Genomic DNA, 12,272 nt, shown 5'->3' on the forward strand with positions numbered 1-12,272 from the left:
GGGAGTTAAACATGAATGGGAAAATTATAGTTTATAGGAGTGAGTAGTATATAAGCTTAATAGCAAGAAGGCAGAAACTTTGCCCAAAAGACATATATGCATACAGATACAATATACACATAAAAATGCATATGCTTTTATCCTCGTTTCTCCAAGGTCACCAGGACCAAATGTTGTTTCTGGCCACACTAATCAGGATGGCCTGATCAGCTCATGATCAACATCTCTTGTGAATCTCTGATGTGATTCCTTTCAGACATGACCTGGAAATGATCTATCCCTCCACAAGCAATAATAGGAGGTCCTAGCCAATTGCTCTACTTCTGCATCCCATTTATGATTTCTCTGGTGTTTCATGAACAAGATGGTGGTCTTCTTGGTGGGCAGTATTCTCTCCAATAATTTAAAAGTCATAAGATTACTAGAAATCAGCAACTTATATAATTATGTCTAGAACTAGTCTTGATTAAAGAGATATGGAAGCAGATGGTTTTCATGATTCATATTAGATCTATTCCCCATTCCACCCCAGAAATCAGACACACAATATGATCTGAAATGTAGTATCTAGTTTGTGCTTTCAAATATTTGGAGAAGTGACTTCCTTTCTTTGAATGAATCAGTACTGTGGTTCCTCTCCTGTCATAGACAACCTTTGGCCATTCTGTTTTTGACCTTCTCCAGATCCACAGGATGAGCAGGAACGGATCGAGGAAAGGCTGGCTTATATTGCTGATCACCTTGGCTTCAGCTGGACAGGTAAAAAGAATGTGACCCAGGTTTTCAACAAAACCTGACATAGATGCATCAGTCAGGTGTCATTCACAGCATAAAAGGTACCCCCCACTTTCTTGAGAAAGAATACATGAAAAGAAGAATAAACTAAGAACTAGAAAACCTGGGCTCTGCATCAGCTAATGGTATAGCCCAGGGCAGGCCTTTTATCATCTCTGAAATTTAGAATAATAGAACTTTCTATTTGAAGATTTAGAGAATATACCAACATTCAGGAACCTCTGTTGGCAGTTGTGGATATCTAAATTTGGGGGAGATTATTATGTTTCAAAATCATTTTTAGATGTAATTTTTATCAAATTTAATGTGAGATTTAACCAGGGCTCCTTCTTTTAGATACCTTATGTCAAAAATCTTCATAGTAAACAACACTAAAAATTGCTTTGGGTAAGTGTTAAAACACACATGAATGAGATATTTCACTAATATTTTTGAGAAATGAGAGTGTTTAAGTATAGAAATTTTATGTTAATAATTTATTAAGGAAAAGTGAATTCTAAAATCAATATACTTTATTTACACATTATGAATTGTATGTTTTAAAAACTATACATTTTCATCTACTTGTGACTTAACCTATTAAAGCAAGATTCTCAGTCTGGCTTTTTTTTTTTTTTTAATATCACTTGTGACTACTTCAAAGAGACAAACATTGTAAAATAATATTCTTTTCCTTTCCATTTCTTAGATTTGGTGATGAATAGGAGCCCATAATACTCATAAAGATAACTACTAATTTAGAGTACATGACTGGAGAAGTGGCCACTTTCTCACTTGTAATAATTTTAAAGTAATTCTTACATACTGATCAGACTTAACTAATTCGGGGTTTTAGGGGAGAGAATGATACCAAACTATCCGTGATTGACTTACTAGATAACATTCAGAATTATTTATTTTGGTTTTTAAATATGTTTGTATCCATACCTACATAGTAAATGCAATATGTATATATTTGGTAAAAATTCAAATCCTACCACCATATAGAATGACATAGAATGAAAAGTAAATATGACTCTCACACCTACTTCTATCTTCTAGCCGTGTGCCTCAGAAGTAACTGCTAATACTTTCTCATGCTTTTAGAAAAAATATACAGTGCCTATATTTATGCCTGTTATTTAAAAGTAAGAAAAGTTTTACTGAATAATATTCCTCATAAGTAGTCTGTTAACATATACACATGTATTTCATTCTTTTAAGTGGGTATTTAATTCCACTATATGGAGGTTCCATAATTTTATTAATGGCTTTTGTTGATGGGCTTTAGGTGGTTTCCCAGTAACGGCAGTAAATATTCTTGTGCATTGGTATATTTTTGTGAGTATATCTATAGGGCATATTCTTAGAAGTAGAATTGCTGCGGAAAAGATACGTATATTTTTAATTTTGAAAGATATTGTCAAATTGCCTTCAAAAGAGGTCACCCTATTTACCCACACACGCATACACACACCCCATAATGTATAAGCATCCATATGTAATGGTTTTTTGTTTGTTATTTTGTTTTTGTTTTGTTTTGTTTTACAGAGACAGGATCATGCTCTGCTGCCTAGGCCAGAGTGTAGTGGCACAATCATAGCTCACTGTAACCTCAAACTCCCAGGCTCAAGTGATCCTCCTGCCCCAGCCTCCTGAGTAGCTAGGACCTCAGGCAAACACTACCATGCCCAGCTAATTTTTTAAAATTATTTTTTGTAGAAATGAGGTTTTTCTATGTTGCTCAGGCTAGTCTTGAGCTTCTGGCCTCAAGCAATCCCTACCACCTCAGCCTCCTAAAGTTCTAGGATTACAGGCATGAGCTACTGGGCCCACCCAATCCATATGGAAGGTTAATAGTAGAATTCAAAGGAAAATTTTGTGTCTTCTTCCCTGGATCAATTAATGCTTCCTCGACCTCTTATTCAGTTGACATCAAATCAAAGAAAGGCATTTATCCAACCACCATAATATAGCTACAACTAGTATTTATCAAAGTATCCAGAAACAGGATTTATAATACTCAAAACATCACCTATGTTAATTAAAGGGAGAAACTTTTTTTCTTTTGTTATCAGTCATTTATTTTCCATTATCTTGCTTAAAAGTATAAGCAAGTATTAATGATCTCATTTGCATTTTGGAATCAAATGGGCCTGAATTATACATATCTTATCATTGCTGCCTCACACTTACTATTTTCACTATGCAGTGATAAATTCTATACCCAGTTTTAGGGGAAAAAATCCATAATTAGTACTAGAAGAACAAAGGCATATAAGAGTCACTTCTAATATGTAGAAATTAAGGAACTCAAATACTCACCACAATATAAAGAACACATCATTTACAAAATCACAAAGCAAAATGTAGAGACTGAAACCTTGAAGTTAATGTGTTTACAAAGTAGTATTTTATCTTCTAGAATTAGCAAGAGAACTGGATTTCACTGAGGAGCAAATTCATCAAATTCGAATTGAAAATCCCAACTCTCTTCAAGACCAGAGTCATGCACTGTTGAAGTACTGGCTAGAGAGGGATGGGAAACATGCTACAGGTAAGTGGGGAACTATATGCATATTGGGCTAAAGTTGGACATGTCTTGCTCAACAACCGCATCTTGCAAATTCAGTAGAATAGTAAAGAAGCAAATGCCATTAATCTGCAGTACAGTGGGTCCTTGAGTAATATCATTTTGTTCAGTGTCATTTCCTTATAACATTGATGAGAAAAAAGAATCAATTCCCAGCAAGGCCACTGTCTGTGTATAGTTTGTGTATCCTCCCCATGTCTGTGTAGCTTTTTCCCCAGTATTCCAGTTTCCTCCCACATCCCAAAGATGTGCACATCAGTTTCACTGGTGTTTCTACATTATCCCATTCTGAGTGAGTGTGGGTGTGTGTGAGTGCCCCCTGCAATGGGATGGCATCATCTCCCAGCTTGGTTCCCATGCAAAGTGCTCTGAGCTGCTGGGTTAAGTTCCAGCCACTTGAGACCCTGAACTGAATAAGGGGATTGGGAAAAGAATGAATGAATTGATACAAATTGTTGTCAAATGAAAATGTATAGAGTCCATGGTAATTACACAAATGCATGAAATAAATGATGCCTTAGGAAAGTACTCAGCGAGCCCACCATATTTGTTATTGTTTGTTTATGAATGGCATGGTGGGAGGAGGTGCTCCTTACAATTTTCACTTTGCAAAGATTTATTCCTTGATTGAACCCCACCACCACTATGACCGCCATCACGCATTGGTTCCTCAAAAATTGAATAATTATCTTACTTATGTTTATTAGTCTTTCTTAAATGTATGTGTAACTCACTTTCACTTCAGTGTTTAATATTAAAAGTGTTTGGGGTTTTATTTAGAAGTTTGGCAGTGTTTTTGTGACCAGAACATTGTTTTCTAAGAATCTATCAATGATGTTGAGTGAGAACTTAGTGAACTACTGTAAGCAAATGAGAACAAGCTACTGTCACTTCTGAAGTATGCATGTTGCTTAAAAACTCTTGCACGATATGCGTATGAACCGCATTAAATAACAGCCCTCACTTCTAACAGTAATGTTACTCAAACCCTAATATTTTTAAAATATTGATAAGTGGACACAATTGCTTTACTTAGCATTGTTTCACTGGTAGTGCATTACCTTCTGTTTCTGCTTCCTTTACTCATAAATAACATCCAGTCTACATTTATCATTCCTTGTCTTTACATTCTTCTAAGTAGAATTGTCAGATTTAGCAAATAAAAACAGAAGGGTGCCCAGTTAAATTTAAGTTTCAGGTGGTCAGCAAATACATTTTTAGCATAAGCATATCCCTTGTAATATTTGGGGCATATTTATACTAAAGAAGTATTTGCTTTTTATCTGAAATTCAGGTATGGTGGGTGTCCTGTATGTTATCTGACAATTCTACTTTTAGGGCTTTTGCCCATGCTGTACCACTTTTTTTATGCATATCTCTTTTGTCTGTTGGCTTATTTTTACAAAGACTTTTAATTAGGCTTTGATTGTTTTTTTCTGTACAGATATCAAAAATTTAGTAAGGCAGTTGAGTGAAAGAGATTTTTAAGAGTACCTCTCAGACATAATAAATGCTGTTTCTCTAATGTGTCAGATACCAACCTCGTTGAATGTCTCACCAAGATCAACCGAATGGATATTGTTCATCTCATGGAGACCAACACAGAACCTCTCCAGGAGCGCATCAGTCATAGTTATGCAGAAATTGAACAGACCATTACACTGGATCATAGTGAAGGTCAAACTGTGTGTGTGTATGTGTGTGTGTGTGTGTGTGTGTGTGTGTGTTGTGTCTGTGTGTGGTTAATTGAGGCACTGGACCTACTGTCTTTTTTTTTTTTCAGAAGGTAGACCATGGCCTATGGTGATCATATGTTCTTTTCCTTGCTACCCTGAGGCTTTCCTCCCTGTTTTACACACCCTCCCACCTCCGCTTCATGCTCATTCTTTGTTATTTCACAGATAACAAAATGATCCATTGAATTCCTTTTCCTCAGTTCCATGGTGGCACTTCTTACACTTGTATTTTTTTATGCTACCTTAGCCACGTATTTCTAGGCTCACAACTAGGACTATATCACTACCAGTGACTGTACATTTCCTCTTTTACTTCTGCACCAACAGTGCTTCATACCCTCGGGGACCTCCAGCCATTGGCCTTACCACCTTTTCAGTGTTAAAGTTCCCCTAACCTATTCTCATTCATTTGTGGTCTCTAACACTGTTTTTTTTTTTCTCTCTCTCTCTTATCTCTATTTTACATGTTGTCTTCTTCCTTCAAACCTCCAACACTGTCTCTTTTCTTTATTTATACCCAGCTGATGACCAAACTTCCTATTTCTTAGAAAATAATAAGAATAATCAGAAGCAAATGTCTATATTTTTCCACCACGAATCTACCAACATGAGTGCATCTCAATGCATATACTTAACTCTACCTTCCATCCTATTAAAATGGATAAAATTTCTTCACTTTTCTAAAGCCATCATCTCTTGTTTTGTACTAGATTTCATCTCCTTTTACTCAATCAGGGACTCCATTCCTGCAAGTATCCCTTTTGGCTTCCTACCACTAGACCATACCCAACAGCATTAAACCATGCTTTAATAGATCCCATCTTTAAAAACAAAACAAAGCAAATAACTCCTTTTACCCTATATGTCCCCCCTGTATTATTGCTGTTACTCCATCCATTTCACAGGAAACCTCTTAAAAGAACAGTCTGAATTTCCTGTCTCTACTTCCTCTCTTCCCATTCCCTCTAGAGCTCTATAATTCACTCTAGTCAATCTTATAAAATTCACCTATTGTTTCCTCTTTTTCAAATCTAGCAGGCAGTTCTCATTCTTCAACTTACTTTGCCTCTGGGTAACATTTGGCATGAATAGTGAAGCCTGCCTTCTTAAAACATTTTCTTTACTTAAATTTCATGACATTCTTGCTTCCTTTTTTTTTTTTTTTTTTTTTTTAACTTTACTGGCTGTTTCTCCTTCCTGTGGCAGGTTACTTCTCATGGATGTGAATGATGATGTATCTTAACTGTTGAGCAAGAGCCTCATAGCTTGTCCTCATCTCCCACCTCTGTCTCTATCGCACTGGTCCTGCACGCCTGGCCTCCTTGCCATTTCTGGAGCACCCTCTGCATTCTCCTGTTTCAGGGCCCTGGTATTTTCTGCTCCCTCCACCCTAGCATGTTCTTTCCTCAGATCAACATATACCTTTTTCTCTCACTTTATTTAGGTCACTGCTCAAATATCGCCTCCTAAGCAGAGCCTTTCCTGACAAGTCTATTTAAAATACTAGCCCCATTTATCCTCTACCTTTATCCTGGTTTACTTTTCTCCCAATATTTATCATAAATATATATCTGCAGAAATGCAAGTTCAGTGGGGACGGAAGCTTTTTATATCTTATATCTTGTTCACTGCTATATATCCAGCATCTAAGCAGCACTTATTACATAGTTGGTGCTCAATATATATCTGTTGAATAAATGAGTCAATAGATGAATGCCAGTCACTCCTCTGCTAAACATCTTTCAATGACTCCTCATTTCCCTGGATATAATGAAATTCCTTAGCCTGTCATAAAAGACTCTACATAAAAAGAGTACTATCCTTATAGTGTTAGAGTGAGTATTAATCAAGTTAATACTTGCAGTGCACTTGAAACGGTGCCTAACATGGAATAAATTTTCAGTATGTATTAGCTATTGTTTGTTATGATGATTATTAACTGTACTCATCTTACTCTTCAGATTCTGTGCTTTGACTGTCTCAGTCAATTCCCACTTGCCATTAGGTCTCCTTGGCATGTAACACACTCTGCATTTTCTTTCCAAATTCTAACCCCATGTTAGGTGCTCCCACACTCATTGACTGGCACCTATGACCCAGTTGCTCTGCACTGGAATTGACCGTTACTTGCGTGGACTCTTCTACATGATCCGTATCTTGAAGGTGGACACAGTGTCTTCTTCATCTTTGTAATCCATGGGCCCATCTCAGGATGTAGCACATTTATCTTCTTATTTTTTTTATCCTCTTATATTTATTACTTAATAAATATCCATTCAATATAGGTAAGCTTCAACTAAATACTTAAATCATTCTGCCTTTAGGGTTCTCGGTACTTCAAGAGGAGTTATGCACTGCACAGCACAAGCAGAAAGAGGAGCAAGCTGTTTCTAAAGAAAGTGAGACCTGCGATCACCCTCCTATCGTCTCAGAGGAAGACATTTCTGTTGGTTATTCCACTTTTCAGGATGGCGTCCCCAAAACTGAGGGGGACAGCTCAGCAACAGCACTCTTTCCCCAAACTCACAAGGAGCAAGTTCAACAGGATTTCTCAGGGAAAATGCAAGACCTGCCTGAAGAGTCATCTCTGGAATATCAGCAGGAATATTTGTGAGTTTCCAAAGAAAGCCTGTCAAATGTAATACCAAAGAAACAGGCTATTGTGGATGCCAGGCATATATAAGCATAACTAGTTTTTAAATACTTTTTAAAATGACCCTACCAAACACAAGTGCCAGAGCTAAAGGGGAAAAAAAAAGCGTTAACATGTAAGAGACATAATTGTGACAGTGTTTGGGGCACAGACCTACAAGAACCAACTTCCAGAGCTGTGACTTTGAACAAGTCCTTATGTGCTTTGAATCTCCATTTCCACATCTGTAAATTATAGTAATAATACACACTTGACTCATCTCACAGGGTCAAAAGTGTGTTTATGAAAGCTTCATCTAAACTGTAAAATTCCCTGTAGATGACACGGCCATGACTTATAATATTGCTGCACCTCATTTGCTCTGTAGCACTTCAAATATGCTCTGTAGCACTTCATCGTGCCATTGCTGGTTAGGAGTATGGTCAGTGATGATGTAGATACCACAGCCAATGGTGCATTTCAACCAAGCTATGAGGGGACTAATCATAAAAATATAAATGCAATGCAAACTAACCACATAGAATAAAAGACTATTAAAATGAGTTGGAATAGAGTTGGGGTGGGAGTAAAGAGAAGCCTTCCGAAGAGCTTCTGGCTGAAGGAAGCTGCAGGCCTAATTTGGCTCAGAATTTAAGTTCCGGCCTTTATGGAAGCCAAGGAGAAAGAGTTGTTTAATTGACACTGATTGTCCAGAAAAGAAAACAAATTGTGAGAAAGGCCAACATATCCCTAAACCTGAAGTCTGAGAATAGGGTGTCATGAGATTGTATCAAAACATTTCGCTTGTCATTTGGTGAGTTTTGTGGTCATTGACATGAGAAGAGGATGAAATGAGTAATGAAATTATCTCTTCTTCCACTGAGCCACCCTTGCCCCATCAACCTGTAGGTTTTAAAGAAAATATAAGGAAGAAGGAGAAGGACCAAGGAAAAGATGGGAAGAAGAGGAGAGGATAACAGAGAGACATTTTAGGCATTTAATATCTATGGAGTGATAGATTGCACTGAATACCAAAAGAAGGCACAGAAAAGGCCAATAATCTTATTTAGCAGTTGAGGTTATCAAAGTTACATTGGAGTAACTCCAGACTATATCAATGAAAAAAGTTTCCATGTCAACAGATGCCTCTATTATTAAATAAAACAGTTTTTCAGAGGTACAATAAGAATTTCCTTGTATTTATACTTATGATAACTATATTAACATGGGGATTTATGTAATTCTGCCAAATTTTTATTCTTGCTTCAAAAGCCTTATTATCTACAAATACTTATGTAAAATTCCTCGCATCCTCAATATCACCTTGAGTTATAAAAGAAAAGATGAAACTATAACTTATATACATTGTAGAGGTTGGGTAACTGTAATACATTTTAGGATAATTTTTGTCTTTAGAATAATAACATCACTCTCTGCCAGTGCTAGATCAATGAGCTACAACTCTATATCTTGTCATATTATTTTTCTTCAAATGTCCTTTCTTGGCCAAATGTACAAAAACTATTTTGACTGTCATAGACTATGGAAAAACCAGCTCCATCTTGCCTTTCGATTTCCTTGCTTGAGCAGGAGGTGAAATGCAAATGTCCCTGAAGTCTCATTTGGCTTTTTGATTCCAGTGTGACAACTCCAGGAACAGAAACATCAGAGACTCAGAAGGCTATGATAGTACCCAGCTCTCCCAGCAAGACACCTGAGGAAGTTAGCACCCCTGCAGAGGAGGAGAAGCTGTACCTCCAGACCCCAACATCCAGCGAGCGGGGAGGCTCTCCCATCATACAAGAACCCGAAGAGCCCTCAGAGCACAGAGAGGAGAGCTCTCCGCGGAAAACCAGCCTCGTAATAGTGGAGTCTGCCGATAACCAGCCTGAGACCTGTGAAAGACTCGATGAAGATGCAGCTTTTGAAAAGGTAAGACATTCCTCTCCACTTTCTCGCCCACCTGTAACAAAGCTACAAATCTTCCAGTTTCCATTTCTATGATGGTTTATTTTTTGCACTTCAAAACAAAAAAGTTAACCAAATTAATTAACCTGGCACATGGAAACCCTCAATCCCTTTTAAAATCTGAGAGCCGATGAATCTTGAAGAAATGGCGCACAGTTCCAGTGCTGTTGATTTGACCATGAGCCCTGATCTTATCATTGGAAAGTCTTTTGCTAAGAAAAATGAATACGGTGGTGAAACAATATATCTGGAGGAGCTTTTCAAAATTAGTAAACTTGGGCATGAAACCTGGTGGCAGAGATTAGCAGCACCAGGTAAGTCAGCCATGGGATGTGCTGGGACCAGCAGGCTTGTTAGATCTCTGGCCTGCCAGGTGATGAGCACACAGACTGTGGATATTGGGTGGGGTTTAGCTGCCAAAATAAATTTTTCTCATTAGAGGCAAGATGATTTCCAAGTTAGATTTTTTTTTTTAAGATTTATTTTAGGAATGACTGAGAAAAAGAACATTGTACCTAAATTAAATGTCCAAATGCCTGACGGTGGCATAAGATTGCATCATAGCGCTTCCTTTGTCATTAAGTGAGTTTTAAAATTGTGAAAAGGGGTGGGGACCATGTTAAGAAATTAACCATTGGCCAGGCGCGGTGGCTCACACCTGTAATCCCAGCACTTTGGGAGGCTGAGGCGGGTGGATCATGAGGTCAGGAGATCGAGACCATCCTGGCTAACATGGTGAAACCTCGTCTCTACTACAAATACAAAAAAATTAGCCAGGTATGGTGGCGAGTGCCTGTAGTCCCAGCTACTCCGGAGGCTGAGGCAGGAGAATGGCATGAACCCGGGAAGCGGAGCTTGCAGTGAGCCAAGATCATACCACTGCACTCCAGCCTGGGCGACAGAGCAAGACTGTCTCAAAAAAAGAAAAAAAGAAATTGATCAACAATTTATTCTCAAAATGTGGTCTATATAGTTCACATACGTCAGAATTGATTGGAGAGCTTGATCCCTCCTCAGAAATCCTGAATTAGAATGAATCCCAGGGTGGGGAGGGAAAGCAAGAATTTGCCTTTTAAATAACTCCCCAGAGGATTCTCAGCCACAAAAAAAGTATGAGAATCTGTTTGAATTAAACTTAATTTAATATGAATTAAACTTAATTTAATATAAATTAAATTAGATATTGTTTTTTCTTTTAAAAAGTAATAGAATTCAAAAACACTTTATATTTCAAAGTGTTTTTAGAGCATTAATATAAAGCTTAGTAGTAAAAGAAGAGTTAAACAAAATAATTGAAATTTTGGGGGGCAAATAAAGTGAAACAGCATGTGTTTGGGCTTAAGACACACATTTGTTTTTGTTCACTGTAAGAATGAGATCTGCTGCTAGGAATTATCTGAAATCACAACTAAAATTAGGAAAGATCCAGGCAGATGAGAACTGTGTCCTGATTTTGGCAGTTTTCTTAAATAATAAATTCATGCCATGAATGAATTTTTATTCCAAGTTTGCTTTTGCATAGAATTATTCATCTCTCAAATTCTTGGCTTGAATGAGTACTACTAAAAATGTTTCTTACATGTTATCTAGGCTAAAAGTTACCAAATTTAACCTAAGAATCCATAGGCTTAGTGAAGTTAGACTTGAAACAATTATCTGGATAATACATATGTTTAATCTATACTAAAGGAATATGTTTGTATAAGTCACTCTGAATTTCACATAATTTATACAGGCCTGTTCGACTTATTCTTGATGAGTATCAGGCATTTCTCTTAAGCTTCCCATGTGGACCCTTATTTCTCATAACCCTAACTTGGGCATCCAATTTTAATCACTTTTCTTGCCAACCATATTTCTAGGCAGTAGATTCCTGATTATATTTAAAATATAATTTGGTTTAGAATTTACAGGTCTTCCTTTAGCAGAGACAAATGTAAACATATAACTTGAGTTTTACAGTGTGTTAAGTAAATCTACTTGAGCTTTCTCTTTTTTAAAAACAAAATTTCATTAGGGAAGAGTAATTCAATATATGACTCCTAAGGTAATGTGTGCTAAGCTAAAATTATGTTTTTTGCTTTATCTCTGGCTTTTGGCCAGAGCCCTAAAATACTATTGACCACTTTATCTCAACTTCTCCATAGAATTATTCTAATATTATTCATAGTCTACCTTTTTTTGATGCCAGGGAGATGCACTATTGGTTAGATAATAGCTACAGGAAACTTTGACTTCCTGCAAAAAGTTCTGCTAGAAACAGGGGATATTCCTATACCTTTGGGTGAATAATTCCAAGCCTAAGCACCAGTGTCAGTGGCTCATAAGTGTTTACTGAACTGCTTAGGGTCTATGTTTACAGTCAGGCTTTTTTTTTAGGAGTTTAAGTAAAAGAAGTCACATGAGCAAGCTGCTTTTTATTTTGGAGAGATTTTGACAGATGGGTTCTCCAACAGCTCTCAGAATTCCAGAATTTTTTTTCATTCATTGAACAACAACAACAAAAAACCAAAACACTCTATTTTTGTTGATGTCTGAGACCAGCACGTATTTGTTTTCACCTCTACCA

The 12,272-nt window shown here is 37.0% G+C and overlaps 1 protein-coding gene across 73 annotated transcripts in view; it reads left to right on the forward strand.

Annotated features, from left to right (window-relative positions):
- The window catches only part of ANK2 (ankyrin 2), a 678,115-nt gene that overhangs the window by 654,517 nt on the left and 11,326 nt on the right, over nt 1–12,272 (forward strand). For all 73 annotated transcript variants that reach the window (NM_001386186.2, NM_001386148.2, NM_001354269.3 and 70 more), the window contains 5 exons: nt 685–759; nt 3,200–3,331; nt 4,901–5,044; nt 7,428–7,713; nt 9,376–9,667. In NM_001386186.2, coding sequence (NP_001373115.1) covers nt 685–759; nt 3,200–3,331; nt 4,901–5,044; nt 7,428–7,713; nt 9,376–9,667 — 929 coding nt within the window. The remainder of the gene's footprint in view (nt 1–684; nt 760–3,199; nt 3,332–4,900; nt 5,045–7,427; nt 7,714–9,375; nt 9,668–12,272) is intronic.

Source organism: Homo sapiens, chromosome 4 (genome assembly GCF_000001405.40).
Source record: "Homo sapiens chromosome 4, GRCh38.p14 Primary Assembly".
Taxonomy (NCBI): domain Eukaryota; kingdom Metazoa; phylum Chordata; class Mammalia; order Primates; family Hominidae; genus Homo; species Homo sapiens.